The sequence below is a fragment of the Homo sapiens genome, chromosome 15, assembly GCF_000001405.40.
Source record: "Homo sapiens chromosome 15, GRCh38.p14 Primary Assembly".
NCBI lineage: Eukaryota > Metazoa > Chordata > Mammalia > Primates > Hominidae > Homo > Homo sapiens.
The window spans coordinates 40,126,675-40,145,999 of NC_000015.10; the positions used below are offsets into that span (position 1 = coordinate 40,126,675).

General features: G+C 43.2%; 2 pseudogenes, besides 1 other annotated feature; one reads left to right on the forward strand and one right to left on the reverse strand.

Annotated features, from left to right (window-relative positions):
- MTND5P37 (MT-ND5 pseudogene 37) lies at positions 7,097 to 7,869 on the forward strand (annotated as a pseudogene).
- Positions 8,094 to 8,540, reverse strand: MTND4P37 (MT-ND4 pseudogene 37; annotated as a pseudogene).
- Positions 9,972 to 10,746: an enhancer, noted in NCBI's record as "H3K27ac-H3K4me1 hESC enhancer chr15:40428847-40429621 (GRCh37/hg19 assembly coordinates)". NCBI's record gives its function as "activates a minimal SCP1, AML or CMV promoter by ChIP-STARR-seq in naive H9 embryonic stem cells {active_cell/tissue: H9 hESC(naive)}" and the evidence as "EXISTENCE:reporter gene assay evidence [ECO:0000049][PMID:30033119]".

The following is a 19,325-nucleotide window of genomic DNA, read 5'->3' on the forward strand; positions in this document are numbered from 1 at the left end:
GTGTACACACCCCCTGTGATATTCTTCCTAACATGAAGGTGGGGAGAAAATGATATTACTCCCAATATCGCAGAGGGTGTACACCCTTCCTGGGATATTGTTCCTAATATAAAGTCGATGAAAGGGTGACATTAGTCCCAATATGGCAGAGGGTGTGCACCCTTCTGGCATATTGTTCCTAATATCAAGCAGGGGAAAAAATGATATGACTCCCAACATCGCAGGTACTGGACACCACCCTGTTATTTTGTTTTAAATATCCAGGTTGGGAGAGGTTGATATTACTCCCAAAATCGCAGGGAGTGTAGACTCCCCCCTGTGATATTGTTTCTAATATCCAGGGGAAGAGAGGACATATGACTCCCAATACCGCAGAAGGTGTACATCCCGCTGTGATGTAGTTCCTAATATCCAGAGGGGGCAGAGCATGATATTACTCCCAACATCTCAGTGGGTGTACAGCTCCCTCTGATATTGCTCCTAATTTTCAGGGGGTAGAATACGATATTACTCTCAATATAGCAGAGGGTGTACACCCCCCGCTTTGATATTGCTCCTAATATTCAGGGGAAAGAGCATGATATTGCTCCCAATATCGCAGTCTGTGTACACCCACCCTGTGATATTTTTCCCTATATCCGGGGAGGTGGAGAGAATGATACTACTCCCAATTTTCAGGCAGCATACTCCGCGACTCTGATATTGTATTCTATCCCCATGGGAGGAGAGGATGATGTTGCTCCAGTATGGAAGAAGGTGTACACCACCCCTGTGATACTGTTTATACTATGAAGGTTGGGAGAGGATGATATTAATGCCAATATTGCAGGAGGTGAACACCCCGCCTGTGATATTATTCCTAATATCCAGGGGAAGAGAGAATGATATTACTCCCAATAGCGCAGGAGGTGTACACACCCCTGTGATATTGTTCCTAATATTTAGTGGGGGAGACGATGATATTACTGGCCAAATCACAGGGGGCATACACGCCCTCTGTTAAATCGCTTTTAATATCCAGGGGTTAGAGGATGATATTACTCCCAATATTGCAATAGGTGGATATTCCTTCTTTGATATTGTTCCTCATATACAGGGGGAAGAGCATGATATTAACCCCAATATCTCTTGGGGTGTACACCCCCCTATGATATTGTTCCTAGGATCCTGGCGGGGGGGTGTCCATGATATTACTGACAATATAAGAGGGTGTGTACACCACCCCTGTAATATTGTTTTTTATGTCCAGCAGTGAAGAAATAGATATTACTCCCAAAATGGAACGGGCTGTACAGCCCCCATGAGACATTGTTCCTAACATCCAGGGGGCGAAGGATGATATTACTCCCAATTGTGCAGCGGGTCAATCATTCCCCTGTGAAATTGTTCCTAATATCTAGGAGGGGTGAGGATGATATTAATTTCAATATCGCAGGGAGTGTACACCGCCCCTGTGATATTGTTCTCAATATCCGTGGGAGTAGAAGATTATGTTACTCTCAATATCGCAGGTGGTGTGCACCCCACCCCCGTGATATTCTTTCTAATATCCAGGTGGGGGGAGGATGATATTACTCAGAATATCGCAAGTGATGTCCACCCCTTCTGTGATATTTTTCCTACTATTTCTGGGGGGAAAGGATGACATTATTCCAGCTATCGAAAACAGTGACCACGCCCCTGTAATATTCATCCCAATGCCCTGGTTAAGAGCGGATGACATAACACACAATATCGCAGGGTGGGGTGTACACTCCGTCTGTGATATTATTTCTAATATGCAAGAAAAGACAAAATAATATTACATCCAAGAGCTCAGGGGGTGTACACACACTGATATTTTTCCTAATATCCAGGGAAGGAGAGGATGACATTACTGGGCATAAGGCAGGAGGTGTGCGCCCTTCTGTGATACAGCTCCTAATAATCAGTGGGAAAGAGGACAATACTAATCCCAATATCGCAGGAGATGTACAGCCCCCCTATGACATAGGTCCCAAAGTACCGCAAAAGAGAACAGAATTACTGCCAATATCGCAAAGCGTGTAAACATCCCTTGTAAATTTTTCCAAACATGCAGCGGGGTACATATTAATAATACCCCCAATATGGAAAGCAGACACCCCCCGCGATGCGGGGAGTAATATCCCCCTGCCTCTCCCCGCCTGGATATTACGATCCACGGTGGACACACAGCGTGTTTACGTTATCGTGAGTATTGTCTTTTCCGCCTCTGGAAATTACCAGCTGTGTCACCTACGGGTGTACACCCTCTCCAGTATTTGCAGTAACACCATCCTCTTCCCATTGGATGTTAAGAAGCATATCAGAAGAATATTTCTACCCCCAGTGACATTCGGTGTAATATCGTCGTCTCCCAGGTTGAGATTAGGAACAATATCACTGGGGGCGTGTACACCCCCTGTGATATTGAAAATAATATCATCCTCTTTTCTACTGGATCATGGCACCAATATCACTGCTGGGTGTACACTTTCTGCAATATTGTGACTAGTATCATCCTCTCTGCCTTTTAATATTTAGGGCAATATCCCAGCGTGGATGTACACCTCCTGCTCTATGAGGAGTCATATCATCCTCTCCCATCCTGGATATTAGGAACAATATCATAGGGTGGATGTACACAGCCTGCGATATTGACTGTAATATCATCCTCTCGCCCTCCGGATATTAGGAACAATATCTCAGAAGTGGTGTACACTCCCTGCGATATTGGGAGCAATATCATCCTCTCCCTGGTTGACATTCAAAACAATATCACTGGGGGCGTGTTCACCCCCCGCGATATTTAAAGTCATATCATCCTCTTCTCTCCTGGATCATGGGCACAATATCACTGGGGGTGGGGGGGGTGTACACTTTCTGCGATATTGGGAGTAAGATCACCCTCTCCGCCTTGCAATATTAAGGAAAATATCACGGGGGCCCATGTACACCCCCTGCGATATTAGGAATAATATTATCCTCTCGTTCCCTGACTATTAGGAAAAATATCATAGAGTGGCTGTACACCTCCTAGGATATGGGGAGTAATATCATCTTCTCTTCTTCTGGATATTAGGAACAATATCACACGGGGTTATACACTTTCTGCGATATTGGGAATAATATCAACCTCGCCGCCTTTGAATATTAAGAACAATATCACAGGGTGGATGTACACCCCCTGCGATATTGGGAGTAATATCAGCCTCTCCCCTCCGTGGATATTAGGAACAATATCCCAGGGTGGGTGTACACCTCCTGCTATATGGGGAGTCATATCATCCTCTCCCTTGCTGGAAATTAGGGACAATATTGCAGGGTGGTTGTACACAGCCTGCGATAGTGGGAGCAGTATCATCCTCTCCCCCTCCGGATATTGGGAACAATATCACAGAAGGGGCGTACACTCCTTGCGATACTGGGAGTAATGTCATTCTCTTCTTCCGTGAATATTAGGAGCAATGTCACCGGGTGGATGTACACCCACTGCTATATTGGGAGTAACGTCATACTCTACCCCCTGGATATTAGCATCAATATCACAGGGTGGGTGTACACCTACTGCCGTATTGAAAGTATTATCATGCTCTCCCTCCCTGAATATTAGGAACTATATCACAGGTGGGTGTACACCCACTGTGGTATTAGGAGGAATATCGTTATTAATCACTAATCATTTATTATCAATAGTGATTACTAAGAACATTAACATTAATATTAATTTCTAAGATTAATATGAACAAATAATTGTTAGCATTATTAGACTACTAATATTAATAATAATTATTAGTAGCTAATAATGTTATTTTATACATATTTGTGTGTATATAAGATCAGTATTATTAACATCAGTCATTATTAATAATTAATATTAATAAATTTTGTTATTAATATTAATGGTTGATTTTAATCGTCATTATTATCGTTATTGTATATATAAGATCAGTATTATTAACATCAGTCATTAATAATTAATATTAATAAATTTTGTTATTAATATAATGGTTAATTTTAATCATCATTATTCTCGTTATTGTATATAGAAGATCACTATTATTAACATCAGTCATTATTAATTAATATTAATAAATTTTGTTATTAATATTAATAGTTAATTTTAATCATCATTCTCGTTATTGTATATAGAAGATCAGTATTAACATCAGTCATTATTAATAATTAATATTAATAAATTTTGTTATTAATATTAATGGTTAATTTTAATCGTCATTATTATCGTTGTTGATTTTATTAATTATATTAATTATCGATTGTTAATAATAATTATTAATATTATTCCTGATATCCAGGGGGTCGAGGATGACATTGCTTCCTATACCTCAGAACACGTACACCCCCATGTGATGTTGTTCCTAATAACCAGGGGGTAGAGGATGACGTTACTCCAAATATCGCCGTGGGTGTACATCCCTTCTGCGATCTTGTTGCTAATACCCAGGCGGGGAGAAGACGATATTAATCCCAATATTGCAGAAGGTGTAGACCTCCCCTGATATTCAGGGGAAAGAGCACGATATTGCTCCCAATATCGCAGTCTGTGTACGCCCACTCTGTGATATTGTTCCCTATATCCGGGGAGGTGGAGAGAATGATACTACTCCCAGTTCTGCAGGCGGCATACTCCTGGCCTCTGATATTCTATTCTATCTCCAGCGGGGAGGAGAGGATGATACTACTACCAGTATTGAAGGAGGTGTTCACCACCCCTGTGATATTGTTCCTAATATCCAGTGGGGGAGACGATGATATTACTGGCCAAATCACAGGGGGTTTACACCCCCTCTGTTTTTCTTTTTTTTTTTTTAATATCTAGGGGGCAAAGGGTGATATTACTCCCAATATCCCCAATATCGCTGTGGGTGTACATCAACCCCGTGGTATTGTTCCGAATATCCAGGGAGGGAGAGGATATTACTGTCAATATCGCAATAGGTGGACACCCCTTCTTTTATATTGTTCCTCATATACAGCGGGGAGAGCATGATATTAATCCCAATATCGCTAGGGGTGCACACCCCTCTATGGTATTGTTCCCAATATTTTGCAAGGGATTTATGATATTACTGGCAATATAAGAGGGTGTGTACACCACCCATGTAATATTGGGGTTTTTTTGTCCAGCAATGAAGAAACTGATATTACTCCCAAAATGGAACGGGCTGTACAACCCCCATGAGGCATTGTTCCTAACATCCAGGGGGCGAAGGATGATATTACTCCCAATGTTGCAGCGGGTGAATCATTCCCCTGTGAAATTGTTCCTAATATCTAGGAGGGGTGAGGATGATATTAATTTCAATATCGCAGGGAGTGTACACCGCCCCTATGATATTGTTCTCAATATCCGTGGGAGTAGAAGATTATGTTACTCTCAATATCGCAGGTGGTGTGCACCCCACCCGTGATATTCTTTCTAATATCCAGGTGGGGGGAGGACGATATTACTCAGAATATCGCAAGTGATGCCCACCCCTTCTGTGATATTTTTCCTACTATTTCTGGCGGAAAGGATGATATTACTCCTAGTGTCAAAGGGAATGTACACGCTTTCTGTGATATTGATCCTAACATTTAGGGTAAAAGAGGATGATATTACACACAATATCGCAGGGGTGTGGTGTACGCTCCGCCTATAATATTATTTCTAATATGCAGGAAAAGAGAGAATACTATTTCTTCCAGTAGTGCAGGAGGTGTACACACCCTGTGATAATTTTTCTAATATCCAGAGAAGGAGACGATGACATTACTGGCCATATCGCACAAGGTGTGCACCCTTCTGTGACATTGTTCCTACTATTCAGTGGGAAGGAGGATAATTTTAATCCCAATATCGCAGGGGATGTACAGTCCCCCTGTGTATAGTTTCTAATGTACAGGGAAAAGAGAATAATATTACTTCCAATATCGCAAAGCGTTTAAACACTCCTTGTATATTTTTCCTAATCTGCAGTGGGGTACAGGTTGATATTATTTTCAATGTCGCAGGGGGTGTCCATACCCCCTGTGATATTGTTCCTAATATCCAGCGGGAAACAGGCTGATATCACTCCCAATATCGCAGTGGCAGTACACCACCCATGTGATATTGTTCCTAATATCCACGCGGGGAGAGGATATTACAACATCACAGGGGGTGTACACCCCTTCTGTGATATGCTTCCTGATATCCAAGGGGTGAGTGGATGATATTATTCCCAATAGCGTAGGAAGTGTACACCCATCCTGTGATACTGTCTCTAACAACCACATGGGGAGAGGTGATATTATTCCCAATATTGCAGGAGTTGTTCACCCCGCCTATGATATTGTATTTTTTATATACAGTGGGGGAGAAAATGGCATTACTACCAATATTGAAGGGATGGACACCCCACAAGATATATTGTTCTTAATATCCGGGTTTAAAGAAGATGATATTACTCCCAATATAACAGGGGTTGTACACCCACCTGTGATATTATTCGTCAAATCTAGAAAAAGAGAGAATGATATTACTTCCAATAGTACAGGGGATGTACACCCCCCCGTGATATTTTTTATAATATCTAAAAGAAGAGATGATGATATTACTCCCAATTCCACAAAAGGTGTACAACCCCCCGTGATATTGTTCCTAATAACTAGTGGAGGACAGCACGATATTACTTCCAATACCACAGTTTCTGTACACACCCCCTGTGATAGTGCTCCTAATTTCTAGGGGTTACACTGTCATATTACTCCCAATATAGCAGTGGGTGTACACCCAACCTGTAATAATGCTCTGAATATTCAGGGAAACACAGGATGATATTACTCCTAATATCGCAGGGAGTGTACACCCCTTTTGTGATATTGTTCTTATAACCTCAGGAAAAGAAAACGATATTGTGTTCAATATCGCAGGCTGTGTACACCCACCCTGTGAAATTGTTCCTAATATACATGAGGGGAGAGGGTGATATACTCCTTATGTATAGCAAGAGGGTGGACACATAGCAAGAGGATGCGGGGAGTAATATCGCCCCCTTCTCCCCCGCTGGATATTATGATCCACATCGCAGGGAGGCGGGCGATGAGAATTATTAGGGGGTGGAAGCGGATCAGTAGGAAAACTCCTGCGACAACTATCATGCTAGAGTGAAGAAGGGCTGAGACTGGGGTTGGGCCTTCCATCGCGGAAGGAAGTCACGGGTGGAGGCCAAGTTGGGCTGATTTTCCTGCTGCTGCTAAGAGAAAACCAATTAATGGAAGAAGATCCGGGTAGTGTTTAGGATCAGTATTTGTTGAGGCTCTCATGTATTGGAGGATGACAGGAATCATGCTATAGCTAAAATAAAGCCAAGATCACCAATGCAATTATATAGAATTGCTTGGAGGGCTGCCGTGTGAGCATCTGCTCGGCCATGCCATCAGCCAATTAATAGAAAAGATATAATTCCTACGCCTTCTCATCCAATAAAAAGTTGGAAAGAGTTGTTGGCGGTAACTAGGATTAATATTGTGGTGAGGAAGATGTGTAGATATTGGAAAAACTGATTAATGTTTGGATCTGACTTTATATACCATATGAGAATTCTATAATAGATCAAGTGATAAATAGTGCTACTGGAATAAACATTTGGGAAGTAGTCTAGTTTGAAGCTTAATGAGAGTTTTGGGGTTTGGATTGTTATTCAATATCAGTTTGAGATGATGGCTTCTTGGTCTGTACACATAAATATTGTTGCCGGAAGGAGGCTAATGGCGAAAGTGCTTGAGATAGCTTTTTACGTAATATGGATACGAGTTCTTCTTACCAGGGTTGGTGAAGGCAATAATAATTGGTAAGGTTAAGGAGATTAAGGTTATTATAGTAATGGAAAAATACATGGTTATTACTTTTATTTGGAATTGCACAAATATTTTTGGTTCCTAAGACCAATGGATAACTCTCATCCTCTAAAAGTTGAGAAAGCCGTGTTGTTAGGCATGGGGGCCTGAGTTAGTAGTTCTTACGTACTTTCCTGGGAAATAAGAAGTTGAAGGCTTCTATTATTAGACCCACAATCTAACGTTTTGATTAAACTATATTTACAGGTTAGAAATCCTATAATAATTTTAGGATTTAGAGATCGTAGGACAATGGGTGAAAGGTGTATACATATTAGTATATTTTCTCGTGTAAAGGATGGTTTAATGCTGTTAATATAGTATGTAAGTGCTCCTCGTTGTGTTGTGACAAGTATGTAGAGGGAATAAATGGCTGTGATTAATATATTAAGTCCTATGAGCATGATAGTAATGTTTGATCAGGAGGATGAAGCCATTGTTACAAGGAGTTCTCCTATTAGATTAATAGTGGGGGGTAGGGCAAGGTTGGTGAGATTTGCTGTAAGTCATCAAAAGGCTATTAGTGGAAGTCAAGTTTGAAGTCCTCGAGAGAGTAATATGATTCGGCTGTGGTTTTGCTCGTAGTTTGAATTTGCTAGGCAGAAAAGTAAGGACGAAGTAAGTCCGTGGGCAATTACGAGGATAATTGCGCGGGTAAAACAAGGGAAGGAGTAGCAGGATTGTGATCAGTCAGCTGCCTGAGCCTCCTCTCTGACCCCCCAGAACCTCTAGTGAACATGCCACTCAGTGTCACTGTCTTTCGGAGCTATTGCTAGTTAAAAACAGGGTAAGATTTACATGTTAAATACTTCTCTGATAATTCCCCCACCAGGGCTGCAGCGAATTTGTGGTTGAATCCACTTTTAGTTACTACCTACTTTTCCAGTGCATAACTTAGAAACTCAAGTAGCAGAAAATAAATTTGATTTTAATTCTGAAATTACTATTGTAAAGATGAATATGACAATCCTGTGACCTCTGCTCCTTCACAGGGAAGACAGCGTCTCATGGGCTGGACCCATTCCTGTGACCGCTCTGGACTTTCTTCTAGGCTTCCTTTGTGGGTTTGGGTTCACATTTCTCCATCCCCTCACAGGATCTAGGGCTGAATTTCTAAAGAAGAAGGAGAAGTACAGGGAAAATGGGTTGTTGTCCTTACAAAGGAAATGGTCCCATCTTTTCAATGCCCCAGGCCCTCTGGAAAGCCCACAGAGACCCCACATTGCCAGCCTGGGAATCTGAATAAAAATAACCTCAGGCCTCTTGGAATAGACACAGATGTTGTGCTTATTTTCATACATTTAGAAGCAAACGTAAACTATGAATTAATTCTGGCACCCACTAGTGACTGCAATCAACCCCAGTGTTACAAGCTGTCCTGTGGGAAGCAGATGGCAGGAATGCAGCACAGGGCAGGGCAGAACCCCAGGACAGGACAGTAGCTGCAGACCACAGGGCAGGGCAGGGCAGGGCCCCAGGACAGGACAGCAGCTGCAGACCACAGGGCAGGGCAGGGCAGGGCCCCAGGACAGGACAGTAGCTGCAGACCACAGGGCAGGAGAGGGCAGGACCCCAGGAAAGGTCAGCACTGCAGACCACAGGGTTGGGCAGGGCAGGGTAGGGCCCCAGGACAGGTCATTAGCTGCAGACCACATGGCAGGGCAGGGCAGGACCCCAGGACAGGTCAGCACTGCAGACCACATGGCAGGGCAGGGCAGGACCCCAGGACAGGTCAGCATTGCAGACCACAGGGCAGGGCAGGGCAGGACCCCAGGACAGGTCAGCACTGCAGACCACAGGGCAGGGCAGGGCAGGGCAGGGCCCCAGGACAGGTCAGCACTGCAGACCACAGGGCAGGGCAGGGCAGGACCCCAGGACAGGTCAGCACTGCAGACCACAGGGCAGGGCAGGGCAGGGCCCCAGGACAGGTCAGCACTGCAGACCACAGGGCAGGGCAGGGCAGGGCCCCAGGACAGGTCAGTAGCTGCAGACCACAGGGTAGAGCAGGGCAGGGCCCAAGGACAGGACAGTAGCTGCAGCCCAGATGCAGTTACTGTTCTGGGACCTTCCTGAAGTAAAGGGCAGAGGCCCAGTGCCTCAGAGACCTAATACCTCTGAACTCTCTCCCCTCTCAACTCCTGCTCCTTCCTCCCAGATATCCAGGGGAGGCCATGGCTCATTCACTCCCTGCCTGAGCCTCAGAGGATCTTCAGAGAGCTGTCCAGCCTGGGACAAAGAGGCTGGACACGTACATCTTCGGTCATAGCCCCCCTCCGCCACCACACACACACCAAGAGAATCCCCACAGCAGTGGGGCAGACGTGCAGGAGCATGCCAACAGCATGGAGCCTTGTAAGGAAATCTCCAAGGGGACAGGAAGAGGGACAGATCTGGGAGTGTGGGGACACTTGGCCCCGATTCATTACACCTGCCTTTAAAGTGCACCATCAAAGTTGCATGCTGTTTTCTTCCCATGTCTGCAGAGCCCTTTGTCCTCTGGCCATTGCTGACCAGCCTGGCTCCCAGACAAAGCCAGACAGATTGTTCTAAAGTGTGGATTTCCACTGGCTCTCTGCATCTAATGAGCTGTCACTCAGAACTCTGCCTCAGAAGCCAGGCAATGCCTGGAAGAAGTGGGAGGGGACAGTAGGTGTGGCAGGATCTACAGCTGGGCCTCAGCCTTGCTGGGCAAGTGGGGAGTCTGGGCCGCCCTATACTCTGGCCCCAAATTCCACTCTCAAGGACCAATTTAGCCTCTGAGTCACCTGCTCTCCCTAGGGCAGAGCCCAACTGTGGGCAAGGTCTCTGGATCCGTCATGACCCTCAGGCCAGAGACGCCACTTGGCATTGCTCACCTTCTCTCTTCACAGCACTGTCCACTGGAATGGCTTGAGATGGAGCCCCAAACCCCTGGGTTCCCGCAGCCTGTGCTGGGTCCTGTAGATCTCACAACTGGAATCCTTTCTTTGGACTATCCAGAAGGCCTTCTTAAGATGTGGCTGTAGGCTGGGCATCGTGGGACATGCCTGTAATCCTAGCACTTTGAGAGGCTGAGGCAGGAGGATCATTTGAGCCCAGGAGTTTGAGACCAACCTAGGCAACACAGTGAGACCTCATCTCTATCAAAAAAGGTTAAAAAAAAAAAAAGATGAAGCTGTTGCTAGAAAACCGCTTTGGAGAAAGAGGCTGTGGCCTCCCCTAGGAGGAGCTCCAGCTTCTCTGGTGTACCATGTAGCCGCAAGGGATTTCTTCCTGTGACCAAAGACATGGACCAAAACCTGCCCCTGTAACTTCCCTCCATTTCCCTCTCTCATGGGAGGGGCTTCACACAGTACATATTTGGTGGCCATCATGGGACAAACCGCAGTGTATCTCATCAGTGATTAAGCAAAATCATTCATGGGGCATGCACTGGGGAAAGGCCACATGAGGACACGGTCAGAAGGCGGCCATCCACAAGCCACGGAGTGAGGCCTCAGGAGAAACCAAACCTGCTGACCCCCTGACCTTGTTCCAGCCTCCAGAACTGGGAGAAAATTAATTTCCATTGTTTAAGCCACCTACTCTGTGCTATTTTGTAATGGCAGCCCTAGCAAACTAATAACACCTTTGTTTTGTGGATGATAGTAATAGAATTTAACGGTTGGATTTGTTGTGAGGTTTGAATGGGTTAACCAATGTATGAACATAGTGCAGTTCCTGACACAGAGTAAGCACTCAGTGAAAGTTAGCTATTACGATGTAAAACCAGACTAATGGCATTTATCACATCCATTCACTTTCTCATACAAGAAAAAGTAATGAATAAGCCTAGCTGAGTTCTCTTCCTGAACTGCAGACTCATATATACAACTTACTCAACATCTCTACTCGGATGAATAAAGGGTACTTCCCTTCGCCCACTTTTTGGTGGGGTTGTTTGTTTTTTCTTGTAAATTTGTTTGAGTTCATTGTAGAGTCTGGATATTAGCCCTTTGTCAGATGAGTAGGTTGCAAAAATTTTCTCCCATCCTGTAGGTTGCCTGTTCACTCTGATGGTAGTTTCTTTTGCTGTGCAGAAGCTCTTTAGTTTAATTAGATCGCTTTTGTCAATTTTGGCTTTTGTTGCCATTGCTTTTGGTGTTTTAGACATGAAGTCCTTGCCCATGCCTATGTCCTGAATGGTATTGCCTAGGTTTTCTTCTAGGGTTTTTATGGTTTCAGGTCTAACATGTAAGTCTTTAATCCATCTTGAATTAATTTTTGTATAAGGTGTAAGGAAGGGATCCAGTTTCAGCTTTCTACATATGGCTAGACAGTTTTCCCAGCACCATTTATTAAATAGGGAATCCTTCCCCCATTGCTTGTTTTTGTCAGGTTTGTCAAAGATCAGATAGTTGTAGATATGCGGCATTATTTCTGAGGGCTCTGTTCTGTTCCATTGGTCTATATGTCTGTTTTGGTACCAGTACCATGCTGTTTTGGTTACTGTAGCCTTGTAGTATAGTTTGAAGTCAGGTAGCGTGATGCCTCCAGCTTTGTTCTTTTGGCTTAGAATTGACTTGGCAATGCAGGCTCTTTTTTGGTTCCATATGAACTTTAAAGTAGCTTTTTCCAATTCTGTGAAGAAAGTCATTGGTAGCTTGATGGGGATGGCATTGAATCTATAAATTACCTTGGGCAGTATGGCCATTTTCACGATATTGATTCTTCCTACCCATGAGCATGGAATGTTCTTCCATTTGTTTGTATCCTCTTTTATTTCATTGAGCAGTGGTTTGTAGTTCTCCTTGAAGAGGTCCCTCACATCCCTTGTAAGTTGGATTCCTAAGTATTTTATTCTCTTTGAAGCAATTGTGAATGGGAGTTCACTCATGATTTGGCTCTCTGTTTGTCTGTTATTGGTGTATAAGAATGCTTGTGATTTTTGCACATTGATTTTGTATCCTGAGACTTTGCTGAAGTTGCTTATCAGCTTAAGGAGATTTGGGGCTGAGACGATGGGGTTTTCTAGATATACAATCATGTCATCTGCAAACAGGGACAATTTGACTTCCTCTTTTCCTAATTGAATGCCCTTTATTTCCTTCTCCTGCCTGATTGCCCTGGCCAGAACTTCCAACACTATGTTGAATAGGAGTGGTGAGAGAGGGCATCCCTGTCTTGTGCCAGTTTTCAAAGGGAATGCTTCCAGTTTTTGTCCATTCAGTATGATATTGGCTGTGGGTTTGTCATAGATAGCTCTTACTATTTTGAGATACGTCCCATCAATACCTAATTTATTGAGAGTTTTTAGCATGAAGGTTGTTGAATTTTGTCAAAGGCCTTTTCTGCATCTATTGAGATAATCATGTGGTTTTTGTCTTTGGTTCTGTTTATATGCTGGATTATGTTTATTGATTTTCGTATGTTGAACCAGCCTTGCATCCCAGGGATGAAGCCCACTTGGTCATAGTGGATAAGCTTTTTGATGTGCTGCTGGATTCGGTTTGCCAGTATTTTATTGAGGATTTTTGCATCAAGGTTCATCAAGGATATTGGCCTAAAATTCCCTTTTTTTGTTGTGTCTCTGCCAGGCTTTGGTATCAGGATGATGCTGGCCTCATAAAATGAGTTAGGGAGGATTCCCTCTTTTTCTATTGATTGGAATAGTTTCAGAAGGAGACATTTATGCAGCCAAAAAACACATGAAAAAATGCTCATCATCACTGGCCATCAGAGAAATGCAAATCAAAACCACAGTGAGATACCATCTCACACCAGTTAGAATGGCGATCATTAAAAAGTCAGGAAACAACAGATGCTGGAGAGGATGTGGAGAAATAGGAACACTTTTACACTGTTGGTGGGACTGTAAACTCGTTCAACCATTGTGGAAGTCAGTGTGGCGATTCCTCAGGGATCTAGAACTAGAAATTCCATTTGACCCAGCCATCCCATGACTGGATATATACCCAAAGGATTATGAATCATGCTACTATAAAGACACGTGCACACGTATGTTTATTGTGGCACTATTCACAATAGCAAAGACTTGGAACCAACCCAAATGTCCAACAACGATAGACTGGATTAAGAAAATGTGGCACATATACACCATGGAATACTACGCAGCCATAAAAAAGGATGAGTTCATGTCCTTTGTAGGGACATGGATGAAGCTGGAAACCATCATTCTCAGCAAACTATCGCATGGACAAAAAACGAAACACTTCATGTTCTCACTCATAGGTGTGAATTGAACAATGAGAACACATGGACATAGGAAGGGGAACATCACACGCTGGGGACTTTTGTCGGGTGGGGGGGAGCGGGGAGGGATAGCATTAGGAGATATATCTAATGCTAAATGACGAGTTAATGGGTGCAGCACACCAAAATGGCACATGTATACATATGTAACAAACCTGCACGTTGTGCACATGTACCCTAAAACTTAAAGTATAATAATAATAAATAAATAAATACATAAATAAATAAAAATTTAAAAATTAAAAATAAAATAAAATAAAATAAGAGTACTTCCCACTGGCCTTGCGCGGTGGCTCACGCCTGTAATCCCAGCACTTTGGGAGGCTGAGGCAGGCGGATCACGAGGTCAGGAGATCGAGACCATCCTGGCTAATACGGTGAAACCCCGTCTCTACTAAAAATACAAAAAATTCGCCAGGCGTGGTGGTGGGCGCCTGTAGTCCCAGCTACTCGGGAGGCTGAGGCAGGAGAATGGCGTGAACCCAGGAGGCAGAGCTTGCAGTGAGCTGAGATCGCACCACTGCACTCCAGCCTGGGCGACAGAGCGAGACTCCGTCTCAAAAAAACAAAAAAGAAAGAGTACTTCCCACAAACCTACTTGCTGTGGTTTGAATGTTTCTCCAAAGCTCACGAAATTCAGTTGCCATTGTAACAGTCTTACGAGGTAGGACCTTTAAGAGGTGATTAGGCCATGGGGGTTCCAACCTCATGGGTAGAACTGGTGCCATTATAAAAGGGCAAGTTTGACCCACTCTTGCTTTCTCTTGCCCCTCCGCCTTCCTCCATATAATGATGCAGCAAGAAGGCCCTTGCCAAGTGCCAGCGCCTTCATCTTAGACTTCCCAGACTCCAGAACTGTCAGAAAGTTAACTTTGGTTCTTCATCAGTGACCCAGTCTGTGGTACTTTATTATAGCAGCACAAATGGTCCAAGATATTGACTCTCCTCAGTCTTTCCATCTGAGTAAGAAAACTCCATCCTTCTGCTTGTTCAGACCACAACTTTAGAGTCATCCTCTTCTTTCCCTATACTTTACATATCATCTGTCAATAAACGCTGCTGTCTCTGCCTTCAAAATGTACTCAGACTCACCACTCCACCATGGCCACACCAATCTAAGCTACCACCATCCCTTCCCTGGATTGTTGCAATAACTGATCCCTCTATTGCTTCCCTTGCCTCTTACAGACTATTTTCATCCCGGCAGCCACAGTGCTCCTGTTAAAACCCATACAAGACCCTGTCATTCTTCTGCTCAAAAGCCATCACTTCCCATCTTATGCAAAGTAAAAGCCAATCTTTCCAGTGGCCTGTGAGATTGAGCATGAACTGACTCCTGGTCACCTCTCCAGCTTCATCTCTTCTTCCTGTTTTCACTCATTCTGCTCCAGACACATTGACCTCCTTACTGCTCCTCTAACATCTGGGAGAGCTCCGCTTCTGGTTAGGATGTAGAAATATATGAAAAGCCTTTGCTACAATGCTATCAACAAGAAAAACCTAGACAAAAATAAAAATCGTGCTTTTCTACTGAGCAGTGCAGGCATGGCCTTGATGAGTTGAATTCCACAAAGAAACAAGCCCTTTATAGATGAGCAGAAGGTCAGCACAGCTTTCACACCTGAGGATGTGCCTGGTCTGGCTACAGGTGGATGGAGAAACATGCCATAGGCAGGGGTTTTGTAAGGATAAGAAGAAATCAGCGAGCTGCGGCATGGGCTGGCAAGACAGATGACAATCTGGAAGAGGCCCAATATAAAAGCAGGTCATTTAGGCCGATAATTCTCTGTTCTCCACCCACCCCCATTCCTGAACTTTGCCACAACTGTGGCACTGGAGAAGGGGCTGGAAAGCAGAGAGTAATGACACGGTCCTGCTTAGATTCTGGGGCCCTGCTGGAGTAGAGTCCAAAGTTGAATCAAAATGATCTGAATCTGTACGCTACCCCCACCCAGCTCAATTACTGACAACTTGAAAAGGAGGCAGAAGCTTGGGATTGGGCTACTTACAGGTGAACACAATCTAATTAAAGCTGCAGTGCAGCCTTACCTCAATTCCACTGTCCGAGGAGTCCCAGTGATCAGCTTCAACCTAACCACCAGACAGGGGAAAGGAACTGCAATTTCTGAGAAGTAAACAAAAAGATATATTTTCATTTCTACTGTTCTTTTATACAAAATTTCTGGAATACAGTTTTGAGAAACAGGAGAGTAAGGAAAAGAAGCATGTGATCCATAATCAAGAGAAAATAGAGAAGCAGATCCACACATGATCCAGTTATTGGAGTTAGCAGACAAAAGCTTTAAAACGATTAATATGAATATGTTAAAGTTCACAGGAAAAGATAGCTATGATGGTTGAAGAGAGGGTTATTTTAGTAAAGAAATGTAAACTCTAAAAAAGAACCAAATGGAAATTCTACAACTAAATATATATATATATATGAACTAAATATATATATATATATATATATATATATATATATATATAAAATTCATTGGATGAGCTTAATAGCAAATTGGACACCACAGAAAAAGCATCAATGAACTTAAAGACAAGCCAATCAAAAGTATCCAAACTGATAAAAAGAGAGAAAAAAATTAATGACCACAGTACAGTGACCTGTGGGATAACAGCAGCTGTCCTAAGATTTGTGTAATTGCAGTCTCAGAAAGAGAACAAATAGCACCAATTGTTTTTCTACAGGAAGAAATAATAGTGAAAAATTTAAAATGTAACAAAAAGGATCAACCTACAGATTTAAACTAATTTTTTTTTTTTTTTTGAGACAGAGTCTCACTCTGTCAGCCAGGCTGGAGTGCAGTGGCGCAATCTCAGTTCAATGCAACCTCCACCTCCCATGTTCAAGCGATTCTCCTGTCTGAGCCTCCCAAGTAGCTGGGACTACAGGTGTGCGCCACCATGTCCAGCTAATTTTTGTATCTCTAGTAGAGACGGGGTTTCACCACGTTGGCAAGGCTGGTCTCGAACTCCTGACCTCAAGTGATCTGCCCACCTTGGCCTCCCAAAGTGCTGGGATTACAGACATGAGCCACCGCACCTGGCAGACCTACAGATTTTAAAAGGTCGTCAAACCCCAAGTGGGGTAAATACAAAGAAAAACACATCTAGACACATCACAGTCAAGTTGTTGAACCAAAGATAAAATGAAAATCTTAAAAGCAGCCAGAGAAAAAAGGAACATTACAATGATAAAAATGATGCCTAACTTCTCTTTAAAAACAATGCAAACCAGAAGACAATAAAATGACATACATGAAAAGAAAACCAGAAAATATAGAATTCTCTGTCCAAGAAAAATAGCTTTCACAAATGAAACAGAAATAAAGATATGTTTAGATAAACAACAGCTAAGGGAAATAATTTTCAACAGACATGTACTTCAAGAAATACTAAAAAAGCTGGGTGCAATTGTAGTCCCAGCTACTGGGAAGGCTGTGGCAGGAGGATCACTTGAGCCTAGAAGTTCAAGATCAACTTGGGCAACGTAGGGAGACTCCATCACAAGAAACAAGCAAGCAAAAAAAAAAAAAAGAAAGAAAGAGAGAGAGAGAGAAAAGAAAGAAGAAAGGAAGGAAGGAAGGAAAGAAAGAAAGAAAGAAAAAAGAAAGAAAGAAAAGAAAGAAAGAAAGAAAGAAAGAAAGAAAGAAAGAAAGAAAGAAAGAAAGAAAAAGAGAAAAGAAAGAAATACTAAAGGGAGTTCTTCAGGCTAGTGAGAAAAGATAGCATGATAGCAGTTGGAGGCTCAGATCTACCAGAAGGAATGAAGAGCATTGCAAATGGTAAGTATGTGGGTAAATATAGAAGACTATTTTAATTTATTTTGAATGACAATTGGCTTTTAAAAACACAAATAACAACCATATATTATGGGACTTATTACATGCACACAAGTAGAATAGATAATAGTCAAAGGATGGAAGGGGCAAATGGAAGTAAAATGGAATTTTCTTAAATTATTTGTGAAGTGGTATAATGTAGACCCAAAATAAACTCTAACAAGTTAAAGATGCACACTATGATCCCTAGAGCAATTATTAAAAATAAAACAAAGAGGTATAGCTAAAAAGCTACTAGAGGCTGCATGTGGTGGCTCACGCTTATAATCCCAGCACTTTGGGACGCTGAGGTGAGAGGGCTGCTTGAGGCCAGGAGTACGAGACCAGCCTGGATAACACAGCAAGACCCAGTCTCTACAAAAAATAAAAAATAAACTAGTCAGGCATGGTGGTGTATTCCTGTAGTCCCAGCTACTTGGGAGGCTGAGGCAAGAGGATTGCTTGAGCCCAGGAGGTTGAGGCTGCCGTGACCCGTGATTGTGCCACTGCACTCCAGCCTAGGTAAGAGATCAAGATGCTGTCTCTCTCTCACACGCACGCACACACACACACACACACACACACAAAAGGTCAACAGAGGCAACAAAATTGGATATTAAAAAACAATTGATCCAGCTGAGCACAGAGGCTCACGCCTATAATCCCAGCACTTTGGGAGACCAAGATAGGAGGATCACTTGAGCTCAGGAGTTCAAGACCAGCCTGGGTGACATAGTGAGACCCTGTCTCTACAAAAAATAAAAAATAAAGTAGCTGGGCCTGGTGGCGTGTGCCTGTAGTCCCAGCTACTTCAGAGGCCAAGACAGGAGGATCTCTCAATCCCAGGAAGTCGAAGCTGCAGTGAGGCATGAGTGCACCGCTGCACTCCATCCTGGGCAACAGAGCAAGCCTCTGTCTCAAAAAAGAAAAAAGTGCATTGCCACTAACCATCTGCATTGCCTTTAACCATACCCACTTCCCTGGCTCGGCCAAACACTTGAAGAGCACTGTGCTGAGTGCCTAGTACAGTGCTGCTCAAACCCTAATGAATTGCCCGGAGATCTTGTTACACAGAAAACTACATTTTGATTATCAAGGCTATTTGACTATCATGGTAGGGGAATCAGAGATGACCAAGACAAGGTCCCTGTCTTCCTTTGGCTTAAAATCCATACAAAACAGCATGGGGGAGAAGGTGAGCAGTGCCCAAAGGGTGGTGGAAAGACAACAGAGGAAGAATTTCACCGGTTTCAATAAAAAATGCATGATTTTGGTAGACACTTGACAGATTTAGTGAGTAAGGCCATTTGGTAAGAGAGAGAGTTGGGCTACACCAAAACTCAGAGAAGTGTAGATGAAGCCAGTGTCCATGCA